A 15,633-nucleotide genomic window follows, 5' to 3' on the forward strand; every position below is an offset into this window, starting at 1 on the left:
TACTTCTGCATATCATGATGCTGGTGAATAGTGCCTATTAATATCTACCATATGAGACCAGCCTGGTTGACATGGTGAAACCCCGTCTGTACAAAAAATGCAAAAATTAGCCTGGCTTGGTGGTGCGCACCTGTAGTCCTGGCTACTCAGGAGGCTGAGACAGGATGATTGCTTGAACCCAGGAGGCAGAGGATGCAGTGAGCCCAGATTGCACCCCTGCACTCCGGCCTGGATGACAAATATGGTATATATATATATACCACTTCTGAGATACATATATATTAAGTATTATATATGTTTCTTACTAACATATACTGCTATATATATATCACAATATTGGTAAACCATGCTGATTTATGTATCTCACATGATGGGATATATTTTATTACTTATTCATGATGAACAATTTTATAACACTGAAGCTATTTCATTTTAAATTTGTCATACATGTTATTTGATATCACTGGTTCCATGATGTGGATGATGTGGTAGAAAGAACTCAGGATTATAAGTGAAAACGTTTGTATTTCCTATTCCACCACGACAGTTACCACAAATCCAACCTTTGACAAGCCACAAACTTCTCTGAAACTTCATGTTCTCACTTAAAAAACAGTCTGTGATACTGACAGAAATTAGGATAAGAGCTTTCAGTAACAGAATAGTGCATGGAAATTGCTCTTTCTATACTCATAAATTAAGGATATTGGAGGATATCCTAAGACCCACAATGTGTACAGACTATATTATACCCCTCAGAATGGGTAGTTTGGCCATATGCCTTCACTGGGCTTATGGCTGGCCTCTCACCCTGGGATGCTTATCACCCCAGAGGCATGCCCACAACTGTGATCTAAAATGTCATCTCTCCCACTGAATATAATATCCTATACAACTTGGATAATCATTCCTTCTTAAAAATATACAGGAATTTATGTATTTTAATTTAATATTTCTAATTATTTGATTTACATGTCATGACTTCACTTTAACTGTTGATTTTTTACATAGTTGTCACCACAAATGCATATTATAAGAATAATGATACGAATATCATCAAAAACAAGGAGAACAGAAATAACTATAGAATAAAATAGATTAACCATGATGAGTAGGGTACTCAGAGCCACAACATTTAAAAGTGAATACTGAATGGCATCCAACTGGAAAGAAACTCAAAATATATATTTAAACTCAGTGTGAGATGAGAGAAAGGCTGTATCTTCTAAACATGTAATAATGTTATTATAGTATCTGGAATAGAATGGGCACTACATAAATACCAGTGGAATTGAAATAGATTCTGCAGACTTTCAAAAATAAACTGTGGGAAGTATAATTTATTGACAGTTTATAACTATCAGTACTTGAGTCTCTCTCTATAAATGTAATAGATAGATTTTACAGGTAGTCAATAGAAATAGAATTTACTCCAAAAAAATATAAAATGTTTATATGGCATTTTATATAACTTTGTAATTTTAATAATGAGCTAGTATTGAGCATTATGGCTATAAAGCTGTCTTCCCAATGCATATAAAGAAATTTCTTCCAAAAGGTAGATATCAAAGAATCATATTCTTTTATGAGGCAATGTACACAGATTAAAAATAAAGTTTACAAACTCATTGACTGGAAAGAGTCAGCTACAAATCTGGGACATATGCTTATTAACTAAAGGTATTACTGAGTCTTAGGCAAGCTAAAAATTTTAGTGGCATTCCATAAACACCTTGGAAGAGCAAAATACTGTAAAATAGCATAGAGCATCATGAAGATGCATAAGAACCCCTGTGTCCTGGTTGTTGTTCCAGTGTCTAGTTTTTTTGTCATAAAACATTTTTCCCAACACTCTGCTCATGCTGGCCTTTCCTGTCTTTAGGGTGTCTCCTGGAAAAGCAACATTTCTAGCTGGAGGCCTACATTTCATGATGTGTACCCAGTGGTGTTAGATTATAAAATCCAAAGAAATTTAGTGCAGTACTGGAAACATGCAAATTAGCAATCCCCAAACTTTTCTGTTTCTTTTCTAGCATTTATTTTTATGTTGAGTGTTTAATGTGTGAGGAGCAAAACAGACAATCTCTAGACAAACTTATTCATCAGCAAAATTAATTCATTCTTCCCCCAACCTTAAAGGTAAACATTCAACTTCTAGAGCTAATTTTGCTCTGTTTTACAAAAGTATTCCATTTAACTAGGGTTAAAATGAAAGAAAAATTGTTAAGGACAGCTAGAGAGAAAGGCCAGGTCACCTACAAAGGGAAGCCCATTAGACTAACAGTGGGCCTCTTAGTGGAAACCCTGCATGCCAGAAGAGATTGGGGGACAATATTCAAAATTCTTAAATAAAAGGAATTGCAACCCAGAATTTCATATCTAGCCTAACTAAGCTTCATAAGTAAAGGAGAAAAAAGATCCTTCTCAGACAAGCAAATACTAAGGAAATTCATTACCACCGGACCTGTCTTAGAAGAGCTCCTGAAGAAAGCACTAAATATAGAAAGGAGGGACTGTTACCAGCCATTACAAAAACACACTGATGTACACAGACCAGTGACACTGTAAGGCAACCACATAAACACACCTGCAAAATAACCAGCTAACATCATGATGACAGGATGAAATCCACACATATCAATACTAACCTTAAATGTAAATGGACTGAATGCCGCAATTAAATGACACAGAGTGGTAAGCTAGATAAAGAACCAAAACTATCGGTATGTCGTCTTCAAGATAACATGTCAACTCTCAAAATAAAGGGTTGGAGGAAAATCTACCAAGCAAGTGGAAAAAAGGAAAAAGCAGGGGTTGCAATCCTAGTTTCTGACAAAACAGACTTTAAACCAACAAAAATCAAAAAAGACAAAGAAAGACATTATTACATAAGGGTAAAGGGTTCAATTCAACAGGAAGAGCTAACTATCCTAAATATAAATACAACCAACACAGGAGCACACAGGTTCATAAAGCAAGTTCTTAGAGACCTACAAAGAGACTTAGATCCCCACACAACAATCATGGGAGACTTTAACACCCCACTGACAATATTATACAAATAACTGAGACAGAACATTAACAAAGCTATTCAGGACCTGAACTCAGCACTGGATCAAATGGACCTGATGTCTATAGAACTCTCCACCCAAAAACAACAGATTATACATTTCTCTCATCACCACAGGACACCTATTCTAAAATTGATCATAATTGGAAGTAAAACACTCCTTAGCAAATGCAAAATAACTGAAATCATAACAAACAGTCACCAGGACCACAGCACAATCAAATTAGAACTCAAGACTAAGAAATTCACTCAAAACCATACAATTACATGGAAATTGAATAACCTACTCCTGAATGACTTTTGGGTAAATGACATTAAGGCAGAAATGAAAAAGATCTTTGAAACTACCAAGAACAAAGATACAATATACCAGAATCTCTGGGACAAAGCTAAGGTAGGGTTAAGAGAGTAATTTATGGCACTAAATGCCCAGATCAAAAAACTAGAAAGATCTCTTGTTAACAGCCTAACTTCACAACTAAAAGAACTAGAGAATCAAGAGCAAAAAAATCCCAAAGCCAGCAGAAGACCAGAAATAACCAAAATCAGAGCTGAACTAAAGGAGATAACTCACAAAAAAATCTATTCAAGAGATCAACAAACCCAAGAGCTGGTTTTTGGAAAATAAAATAAAATAAAATAGATCACTCACTAGACTAATAAAGAAGAAAAGAGAGAAGATTCAAATAACACAATCAGAGATGATAAGGGGGATATTACCACTGACCCAACAGAAAAGCAATCCTCGGAGAATATTATAAGCTAGTAATATATACACGTGACCTAGAAAATCTGGAAGAAATAGATAAATTCCTGGACACATGCACCCTCAAAGACTGAACCAGGAAGAAACTGAATCCCTGAACAGACTAATAATGAGTTCTGAAACTGAGGCAGTTAAATAAACAGCTTACCAACCGAAAAAAGCCCAGGACCAGACAGATTCACAGATGAATTATATGAGATATACAAAGAAGAGCTATTATCATTCCACCTGAAACTATTTCAAAAAATAGAAAAGGAAAGGATTCGTCCCTAACTCATTCTATGAGGCCAGCATCATCCTGATACAAAAACCTGGCAGAAATATGACAAAAAAAGAAAATTTCCTGTCAGTATTCCTGATGAACATCAATGAAAATATCCTCAACAAAATACTGGCAAACCAAATCCAGCAGCATATCAGAAAGCTTACCCACCATGATCGAGTATGCTTGATCCCTGGGATGCAAGTTTGGTTCAACATATGCAAATCAATAAATATGATTCATCACATAAACAGAACTAAAGACAAAAACCACATGATTATCTCCATAGAAGCAGAAAAGGCTCTCAATAAAATTCAACATCCCTTCATGTTAAAAACTCTCAATAAAGAAGATATTGAAGGAACATACTTCGAAATAATGAGACATATATGAAAAAACCACAGCCAACATCATACTAAATAGGCAAAAGCTAGAACCATTCTCCCTTGAAAATCAGCACAAGACAAGGATGCCCTCTCTTACTACTCCTATTCAACACAGTATTGGAATTTCTGGCCAGGGCAATTCCACAAGGGAAATCAATAAAGGTCATTCAAGTAGGAAAAGAGGAAGTCAAACTACCCTTTTCGAAGATGTCATGATCCTCTATCTAGAAAAGCCCATCATCTCAGCCCAAAAACTTCTTAAGCTGTTAAGCAACTTCAGCGAAGTCTCAGGATACAAAATCAATGTGCAAAAATCATTAGCATTCCTATAAACAACAGTCAAGCTGAGAGCTAAATCACAAACGAACTCCCATTCACAATTGCAACAAAAAGAATAAAACACCTAGGAATACAGCCAACTAGAAAGGTGAAGGATCTCTACAAGGAGAACAACAAACCATGGCTCAAATAAATCAGAGATGACATAAACAAATGGAAAAACATTCCATGTTCATGAATAGGAAGAATCAACGTCATTAAAATGGCCATACTGCCTAGCAATTCACAGTTTCATTGCTATTCATATCAAGCTATCAACGTCATTTTTCACATAACTAGAAAAAACTATCTTAAAATTCATATGGAACCAAAAAAGAGCCTGAATGGCCAGGGCAATCCTAAGCAAAAAGAACAAAGTTGGAGGCATCACGTTACCTGATTTCAAACTATACTACAGGGCTGCAGTAACCAAAACAGCAAGGTACTGGTACAAGAACAGACACATAGACCAATGGAACAGAATAGAGAACCCAGAAATAAGATCACACACCTAAAACTATCTGATCTTTGGTGAACCTGACAAAAACAAGCAATAGGGAAAGGATTCCTTACTTAATAAATGTTGCTGGGATAACTGGTTAGCCACATGCAGAAGATTAAAACTGGACCCCTTCCTTACACCATATACAAAAATTAACTCAAGATGGATTAAAGACTTGAATGTAAAACACAAAATTATAAAAACCCTGGAAGATAACCTAAGCAATACCATTCGGGATATAGGCATAGGCAAAGGTTTAATGGCAAAGATGCCAAAAGCAACTGCAACAAAAGCAAACATTGGCAAATGGGATCTAATTAAACTAAAGAGCTTCTGCACAGCGAAAGAAACTATCAATAGAGCAAACAGGCAACCTGCAGAATGGGAGAAAATTTTTGCAAAATATGCATCTTACGAAAGTCTAACATCCAGAGTCTACAAAGAACTTAAACAAATTTACAAGAAAAAAAACTCTATTAAAACATGGGCAAAGGAAATGAACAGACACTTTTCAAAGGAAGACATATATGTGGCCAAAAATCATATGAAAGAAAGCTTAACATCACTAATCACTGGAGAAATGCAAATCAAAACCACAACGAGATAATACCTCACACTAGTCAGAATGTTGAAGTCAAAAAATTATAGATTAGAAAATCAAAAATAACAGATGCTGGAGAGACTGTGGAGAAAAGGAACGCTTATACATTGTTGGTGGGAATGTAAATTAGTTCAGCCATTGTGGAAGACAGTGTGGTGATTCCTCAAAGACCTAAAGACAGAAATACCACTCAACCCAACAATCCCATTAGTGGATATATACCCAAAGGAATATAAATCATTCTATTATAAAGACACATGAACATGTATGTTCATTGCAGATCTATTCACAATAACAAAGACATGGAATAAACCTAAATGTCAATCAATGGTAGACTGGATAAAGAAAATGTGGCTCATATACTCCATGGAATACTATGCAGCCATAAAAGAGAACAAGATCACGTGCTTTGCACTGACATGGATGGAGTCGGCGGCCATTATCCTCCAGTAAACTGACACAGGAACAGAAAACCGAATACTGCATGTTCTCACTTATAAGTGGGAGCTAAATGATGGGAACACTTGAACACGTAGAAGGGAACAACCTACACTGCAACCTACTGAAGAACAGAAGGTGGGAGGAGAGAGAGGATCAGGAAAAACTACTAATGAGTACTAGGCTTAATGCCTGAGTGATGAAATAATCTGTACTGCAAACCCCCATACACAAGTTTATCTATGAAACAAACCTGCACTTATACCCCTCAACTTAAAATAAAAGTTTTAAAAAAGTAAAATCAAGCTAACATAATTCAACTAACTGCTTAAATGAATGGCTTTATAAGTAATTTGAGGATAGCCGGGCATGGTGGTTCACACCTGTAATCCCAACACTTTGGGAGGCCAAGGCGGGGGGATCATTTGAGGTCAGGAGTTTGAGACCAGCCTGATCTACATGGTGAGACTCTGTCTCTACTAAAAATACAAAAATTAGCTGGGCATGGTGGTTCATGCCTGTAATCCCAGCTACTTGGGAGGATGAGGCAGAAGCGTCGCTTGAACCTGGGAGACGGAGGCTGCAGTGAGCCGAGATCATGCCACTGCACTCCAGCCTGGGTGACAGAAAAAAAAAAGATAATAATAATTTGAGGATCGGTTATTGAAGCAGTAGAATGGATACTTGCAAGAGTCTCTATTCTTCCTGAAGGGCCAGCAATACTCATTTCCATTTTACAAATGAGGAAGACAAATAATCAAGAAGTTTAAACTATCTCACAGAGTCATGCATCAGGCCAGTAGCAGAGATGAGAAGAGAACCTTGAAGTCTGGACTTCCTGTAGAGTGGGTAAATTCTCTGGTAGTCTTTGTCCACAGCCAGCATTTCACATACCGTCACAGAATCATAGAACCTTAAAGGTCTGTTAGTCCAAACATGCCCAAATGACATTAAAGTTTATTTGAAGGTCAAATGAACAACTATCAAAGATCTTCAAGTGAGAGCAATTTAAGAGAAATGTTCTGCTGAATCCTTCTTTTTAATAATTTTTTCCCCATTTAGGAATTTTTTGGCCACTGGGGAAAAAATCTCACTTTTAATAGATAAACCTTTTTAGGGTGACTGCTAATGTGCTGATAAAGTTGCCTGTACTTGTGTTTATTCCAATTATTACAGAGGTTGCCTGCATAGCTACTCATTCACTCATTAAATATGTATTGACTGCCTACTGTCACTTCTGCTTTTCTGGGCATTGGTAAGAGAGGGGCAAATGAGACAAACAAGGTCACTGCTCTCAGCAAGCTTATATAACAGCGAGAAGACAAAATAAGCAAGCAAAACAGCAAATAATATAATTTTCATTAAAAGTAATCACAGCAAAAAAACTAGGTAATGTGATGATGACTAGATGACTGGGGTTGGGTAGAATGTGGCAGCAATATTAGTTGGAGTTATAAGAGAAGACTTCTTTAAGGAGATCGATTTTTTAAGCAAAGACCTAAATGATTAATGAAGAAATGAGAATTCTAGCCCAAGAGAACAGTAAGATCCTGAGTTCAAATGAGCTTTACGTCTTCTGGAAATAAAAAGAAAGCCAGTTGGGGCTAAATCAAGGTAAGATAGGAGGTGGCAAATGATGACAGATGTGGTCAGGCTGGGGAAAAAATCACATGCATATTTGCAGGCCATGATAACAAGTTTTTATAGCCATTCCAACTGTGTATATTTAGTATTATAGCATCAGCCCCTATAGTATATTACGAGTTAACTTTGTTTCCCTATAACCAAGAATAATCATTTGTAATTGGAGTTATTGCTATTTTAATCTTGCAAATATGATATGTAATGTATCAAGTTCATAAAAAAGAATAAACTTCTAGTAAACATTCATCGAATCAACGCACAACTATTTATTGTACAATTCACAAAGGTACTGCTAAAATTTTGAGACCAAAAGTAGCCTTAAAGGAGAAAGAAGGATTTAAATTGGACATTGAAGAACCAGTCCTCTAAGTCAACTCACAGATGAGGTACTCTCAGAATTAAAAAAAAAAGACTTATTAAATTACAAAACTATAGTAACCAAAACAGCACAGTACTGGCTCAAAAGGAGACATATGGACCAATGGAAGAGAACAGAGAACCTAGAAACAAATCCATACACCTACTGTGAACTCATTTTCGACAAAAGTGCCAAGAACATACATTGGGGAAAAGACAGTCTCTTCAATAAATGGTGCTGGGAAATCCTTATGCAGAAGAATGAAACTAGACCCCTATCTCTTACCGTATACAAAAGTCAAATCAAAATGGATTGAAGACTTAAATCTAAGCCATTAAACTATCAAACTACTACAAGAAAACATTGGGGGAGATCTCCAGGACATTGGTTTGGGCAAAAATTTCCTGAGTAAGCACAGGCAACCAATGCAAAAATGGACAAATGGAATCACATCAAATTTAAAAGCTTCTGCATAGCAAAGGAAACAATCAACAAAAACAAGAGACGATCCACAGAATGAGAGAAAATATTTGCAAACTACCCATCTGACAAGGGATTAATACCCAGAGTATACAGGGAGCTCAAACAACTCTATAGGAAAAATCTAACAATCCAATAAAAAAATGGCCAAAATAATTGAATAGACATTTCTCAAAAGAAGACATACAAAGAATAAACAGGCATATGCAAAGGTACTCAACATCACTTATCATCAGAGAAATGCAAATCAAAGCAACAATGCAATATCATGTCACCCCAGTTAAAATGGCTTATATCCAAAATACAGGCAATATCAAAAGCTGGTGAGGATGTGGAGAAAAGAAAATCCACTGTTGGTGGAAATGTAAATGAGTACAACCACTATGGAGAACAGTTTGGAGGTTCCTCAAAAAACTAAAAATAGATCTACCATATGATACAGCAATCCCACTGCTCAGTATAACCCCAAAGAAAGCAAACCAGTATATCAAAGAGAAATCTGCACTCCTATGTTTGTTGCAGAACTGTTCACAACAGCCAAGATTTGGAAGCAACCTAAGTATTTGGAAGCAATTAAGTATCCATCAACAGATAAATGGATAAAGAAAACATGGTACACATACACAATACAGCACTATTCAGTTATAAAAAAAATGAGATCCTGTCATTTGCAACATCATGGATAAACTGGAGATCATTATGTTAAGTGAAATAAGCCAGGCACAGATACACTAATATTGCATGTTTTCACTTATGTGTGGAATCTCGCAATCAAAACAGGTCAGGTGAGATGGCACACACTTGTAATCCTAGCACTTTGGAAGGCTGAGGTGGGAGGATCGCTTGAGCCCAGGAATTTGAGACCAGCCTGGGCAACATGGCAAAACTCCATCTCTTTAAAAATACAGAAAAAATTAGCCAGGTGTGGTGTGCATGCCTGTAGTTCCAGTTACTCAGGAGGCTGAGGTGGGAGGATCACTTGAGCCTGGAAGAACGAGGCTGCAGTGAGCTGTTACTGTACCACTGCACTCCAGACTGGGTGACAGAGCGAGATCCTTTCTCAAAAATAAATAAATAAATAAATAAATAAATATAAAAATAAAAACAATTGAACTCATGGACATAGAGAGTAGAAGAATGGTTAGCAGAGGCTGGGAAGGGTAGTGTGGGATAGAGGTAGGTGGGGATGATTAATAGGTGCCAAAAAATGTTAGAAAGAATGAATAATACCTACTATTTGATAGCACAACAGGGTGATTATAGTCAATAATAATTTAATTTTACTTTTTAAGATAACTAAAAGTGTATAAATGGATTATTTCTAACACAAAGGACAAATGCTTGAGGTTATGGATACCCCATTCTCTGTGATGTGATAATTAGGCATTGCATGCCTGTATTAAAATATTTCATATACCCCATAAATATATATGACCACTATGTGCCCACAAAAATCAAAAATTAAAAAAAAATCTAATTTCACATAATCAAATTCCCACACATAGGTACTTTAATGTATGGCATATTTTGAAATCAAATAATGGACAATCCTGCTTCAAACTGAAGCTTCAACAAGCAAGAAATTACCTGTGATAGCAAGAACCTCCCTCCCTCAGCCCCGGGCATTCACGCTCCCCTAGTGAATGGTGTACCCTTGCTTATGTTATGGTCCGTGTTTTCCCTCATCTCTATGTCTGTTCAAAGGCCATTTTATGAGGACAAGAGTAACTGCTTGTATTTTCAGATAGAGGGGGGTATCCATGAACCACAGCAGCAAGGAACTCTTCTAATAACGTCATGAATGTGAATTATATCATACCTGCACAGACTGGTCTCTCCAACAGGAAATTAGCTTCAAAAGTGAAAGGTCAGCCTCAGGTACATGGGATTCATTCTTACCTAGAAATATACAGAACACACTTGTATCTTTAGAGTATTAAAAATGGATAATGGCTCTTAAGATGGGCTGCATATTAGAATCACCTGGGAAGCTTTGTTTTTTATAAACACCAATGCCCAGGTTCAATCTTCCAGAGATTTTTATTTTACAGATCCTGTGGTAGAGGTGGGACAGGCATTAATGCTTTGTAAAAGTGCCACAGATGATTTACATATACAGCCAGGGTTCACATCCATTTGTGTACATTTATACACACACACACACACACACACACAATTTATATGTAATTCTAACAATTATACTAACACATATTCACATCAAATCAAATTCATTTTTACAGCTTCAACACATTTTTGTTCTTTTTGCTGACCCAAGACAGATCACCAAATCTTACAATTCCTTCCTTATACAAATTCTGAAATTCTACTCTGCCATGAATTAGTCTCTATCACATGTAAAATCAAATCAAAGACTTCCTTTGATTTGTCCTTACCCAGCTATACCACTTTGATCAATAGGTAGAGCACTACTGTTTTAATTTAACTCATTCTGTTATGTATTATTTCTTCTCTGTTTGCCCTCTCCAGTGTCCTTTCTATTTGCCTTAATGTTCAGTGTGAAATTTTAAGAATGAGTGAGTGCTTGGTCTATGTAAACTGGTTCATAGAGTGTCCAGCAGTTTCCTACACAAAAAAGTACTTAATAAGTGCCTTTTCATTAATTGAAAATGTACATATAACCATAATGAACAATCGATGAGTTAAGGCTTTCTGATGGCTACAGTCTATTATCTAGGTGCCAGATCCTGAGAGATAGGGAAGACTGGTAAGGGCTTCTGCAAGCGGAAAAGTTGTTACTATAATTGTCTACTTAAATTAATATATTGATATATGTTTGACATTGTGGTATCAACTATTTAAATTAGCATTTGTCTGATACACTTTTCATCAAATCCCTATTTTTATATTAACATATGAGGTATATATATATATATGAATATATATTTACCACATTAGCAGTCAAGGAAAATGCAATAAAGGTATTGTATACAATGCAATTTGAGAACATAAAAGTAATACATAAGAAACTTCTGACCAATTATTGATATTACTTTTTCCTGATAGAGCATTTAATATAAATGTAAAATGACCAAGAACACTATATAAAACATGGAAGTATGGTAGAAGATTATAATTTTGACATGTTTTCCATTTCTTCATGAACACAGCAGGTAAGAGAACATTTTCTTTTGATCTCTGTTTTTCCTCCCTCTCCCACTTTGTGGACCTTGTGACTCAACCATCAAAGCTAAGTATTGGTCTCAACTGTAACTACTTACTAGCATCATGGGGTACTTCACAGCACAATTTAATGTGATGTTAAAATTTTAATATGTGATAGAAATGAGAGCCAACTTATCTTGGCAATGTCAGTGAGTTAAAGAATTAATTGCAACTTTAGGGGGAAAGATAAAAGAAAGTATCCCAGCCTTACCAACATTATTCAGTCAATTCCTGCTGACAGAAGTGAATACTGGTTCCTAACAACGTTTTAGATGAGCACCTCGGAGTATTATTTTTATTCTTTAGGATTTGGCTTCATAAAATTAATACCATGAAGTCAATACTTCCTTTCTTTAACCTTCCATCTTCCTATTATTTTTTTGAAAAACATGTTTCCCTACTCCTTAGCTGAATTTCAAATGCTATAAGTGCCAACCTAAATTCCAGAGAGATGATTCTATAGTAACAGTAGCTGCTTAGGCTTTTTGCTGGGGCACCCATAGGAAAAGCAGGGGCCTCCTTGATTCTGGTTAGCAATCCCCTGTCTTTGCAGAAACACTTATATTAAATCTTAAATTCCAATCCCCTTCCCAGTTACGAGTGCTAAAAAACAAACAAACAAACAACAACAACAACAACAAAACACTGGATAACTAACCCTAATAAGAGTAACTATCTAAGGAGAAAGGAGGCAACCCAGACTGGGGCTATTTAGATGGAACATTATCTGTAATCATAAATGTGAGAAGTGGCCTGACACAGTGGACAGGAAATGGGGTTAGGAATCAGATTTGGATTGGAATGCAGGCCCCTCTACTGAATAGCTGTTTGCCTATGAGTCATCTAACTTCCTTGAGTCCCATTTTTTTTTTTTAACGGTAAAACAGAGATGCTGCCTCCTACTGTGCAGGGTTGTTTTTACATTAAATGAGATAATATATGTAAAACCATTAACATAATTCTTGGAACAAACTAAGCACAAGTTAATTGGAAGCTAATAATAAACTCTCACTTGAAAATACTCTTTTCAACAGTCGTGTGAGGGCCACTGTGTACTGTCATTCAGGTCACCCCATCCTATGGATCATATGCTGCACAGCTTTGGAGGCAACATGTGCATTGTATCTGGGATCACATTCCCATTTTACAAATGTAGTAATTAGGGCTTTTAAAAAGGAAAAGACATGCCCAATAGAACACAAATAGTGAATGGCAGAGCTGGATCTTGAATCTCAGCCATCTATCTTATTTATCTCCAAAACCACTGTTCTAGTCATTATTTATCCTTTAATTTCATTTGTCCATTAATTGAACTCATCCACTAATTCAAAAGTTATTTGCTAATTCCTTCTAGATATTGTTCTAGGAACCAGGGACACAGCAATGAATAAAACTGTCACAAAAATATAACTTCTATGGAGCTTACAACTTAGTAGCAGGAGGCAGATGAGATTTTTTAAAGTAACAGATGTCAGATAGATAGTGAAGAGGCTTATGGAGAACAGTACAACAGCGAAAGGGGTAGGGAGTGCTGCTGCAGTGATAAAGTGGCATTGGAGCAAGACTTGATGGATGGTAGCGGGTGGAGGGTGAGCAGGTTGAGCTATATGAAGGTCTAGGGAAAGAACACCACAGGCAAAGGTACAGCTAATGCAAAGGTCCTCAGACCTGCTTGTCATGCTTGGGTAAGAGTAAAAAGGCTAGGGTAGCTGGAATGAGTTAAGCAGGGGGTGAGCACTAAGAGAGAAGGTTGGATGGGGGTGTATATGTGATGACATAGGTAGAGCAGCCAGATCCTATAGGGCTTTCTGTGCTATAGTAAGGACAATGGCTTTTATTCTGAGCGAAACAGAAGCCACCAGAAGGTTATACATAGACGAGTGAGGTTCTGACTTAGTTCTGAATAAATCATTCTGGCTGCTTGGGTGGGAACAGAGTGCAGGAGTCAAGAATAGGAACAGAGAGATGATCAGGAGCCTGCTATGGTCATCCAGGCAAGACAGGATGAACGCTCACAGGGGTGAGGGTGAGGGAAAGGAAGGTTGAGGGGGATGGAGTTGCTGGTGTAGGGGGTGAGAAGCAGTCAGATTCTGGGATACATTCTGAAGGTAGAACTGACACAATTACTGACAGATTGGATGTGGGGTATGAGAGAAAGGGAAAGTAAAAAAGAATCGCAAGGTTCTTCGCTTGAGCAATTGGTGATTGGAAGGATAGAACTGTCATTTATTGAGATGTCCCAAACTTGGAAAAGCAGGTTTGGGAGATACATTTGCCATTTGGCATCAAGAGGAAATCTAAACACTGAAGTTGAGAATATAACCTTCTGAAATTGCAAGAAAATTATCTAATATAATAATCATTTATTTGGTAATAAAGATGATGCAATAAACTTTCCAATAAAACACAATAATAAAATACTTAACATATAAGTATTTCCTTTGCTGAAAAGTTTCAAATTTTTAGGCATTTCAAAGATCATTTGAAATCTATGTTTTATAAATGTTCAAATGTTATGTCTATGTTTTAAAATTATAAAATGTTCAATCTATGTTTTTAAATGTTTTATAAATGTCACCCACCTTATTTTCTAAATGAAGAAAGTAAGGCCCAGAAAAGCTAAATGACTAGCCTAAAGCCACACAGCTAGTGTAATCACAAACATAGGTAAAATCTATGTTTTATATATGTTATTTATTTTGACACTGCTAACCAGTTATAGAAAGACTAGTTATGTCCTTTCACAGAAAAAAAAAATCAGATCATATCTGTGCCAGTAACTCTCTTACCATTTCGTAAGCAACTGTAGAAGCTTGACATATTTAAAATGTCATTCCCAGCACCTCTCATCTTATTATGTATACTTTCCATTCTGAAAGAACTGTTAGAAAAAAGATTGACAGCATATTACTAAAAAGCATGAAAAATTATTTGAGGAAATAAATCAAAGATATGGGTACATGACCACTTTAGCAAATTTGGAAATTGAATACAAATTATTTTTAGCAATATCTTTCACATCAATTTCTCTTGTGAATCTGATTTCCTCACTTTGCTCCCACCTAAAATCTTATTTATTTATTTTTTTAGGCTCCCACCTAAAATCTTAATCCCAATTGACCTGCACATCTTAGTTTGCCAGAATTATCTGTGAACTATGTTTACAAGACAGGCTTTGCTATTTTAGGTTACATGATTACTGACTAATGCAACAAATTTAAAAAACCCAATATGTTCACATCTGTCAAAGAATTATCCTCAGGTATCATTGGAGCCTTATGAAGGCAGGTTTTACCCTAGGCCAGTGTTCTAATCATAGGAATCTTCCGAAACTGCCAGGGATGTTCTGATAAGTAGGCAGGTGTTGCCTTAAAATATAGTTAAATCATGTGCCCAGGTGTTAAGCACACAAGGATTTCTCAACCTTCACAACCACAGTAAAATCTTTGTGAAATGGTCACATTTGTTGGAAGGATTTGGTGTGACAAATCCAATATACATGATTTTGATTTCTCAAAAAATAATATCTGGGCTCTGACAGCAGATCAAATCTTGAGTGGCTGCAGTAGAGAAGCAGTCTCTAATCCTGACACCTTCATTCTATAATTTGTTTCAATGAAGAATT

At 36.3% G+C, this 15,633-nt stretch overlaps 1 protein-coding gene across 8 annotated transcripts in view; it reads right to left on the reverse strand.

Moving 5' to 3' along the window:
• Window positions 1–15,633, reverse strand: part of WDR72 (WD repeat domain 72) — a 249,138-nt gene that overhangs the window by 85,128 nt on the left and 148,377 nt on the right. For all 8 annotated transcript variants that reach the window (NR_102334.2, XM_011521436.3, NM_182758.4 and 5 more), the window contains 2 exons: window positions 14,798–14,889; window positions 10,645–10,724 (listed from right to left, as the gene is read on the reverse strand). Coding sequence is in view for 7 of the 8 variants with exons in the window: in XM_011521436.3 (XP_011519738.1) it covers window positions 10,645–10,724; window positions 14,798–14,889 (172 nt within the window). In the remaining variant the exon portion in view is untranslated. The remainder of the gene's footprint in view (window positions 1–10,644; window positions 10,725–14,797; window positions 14,890–15,633) is intronic.

This window comes from Homo sapiens, chromosome 15 (genome assembly GCF_000001405.40).
Source record: "Homo sapiens chromosome 15, GRCh38.p14 Primary Assembly".
Taxonomy (NCBI): domain Eukaryota; kingdom Metazoa; phylum Chordata; class Mammalia; order Primates; family Hominidae; genus Homo; species Homo sapiens.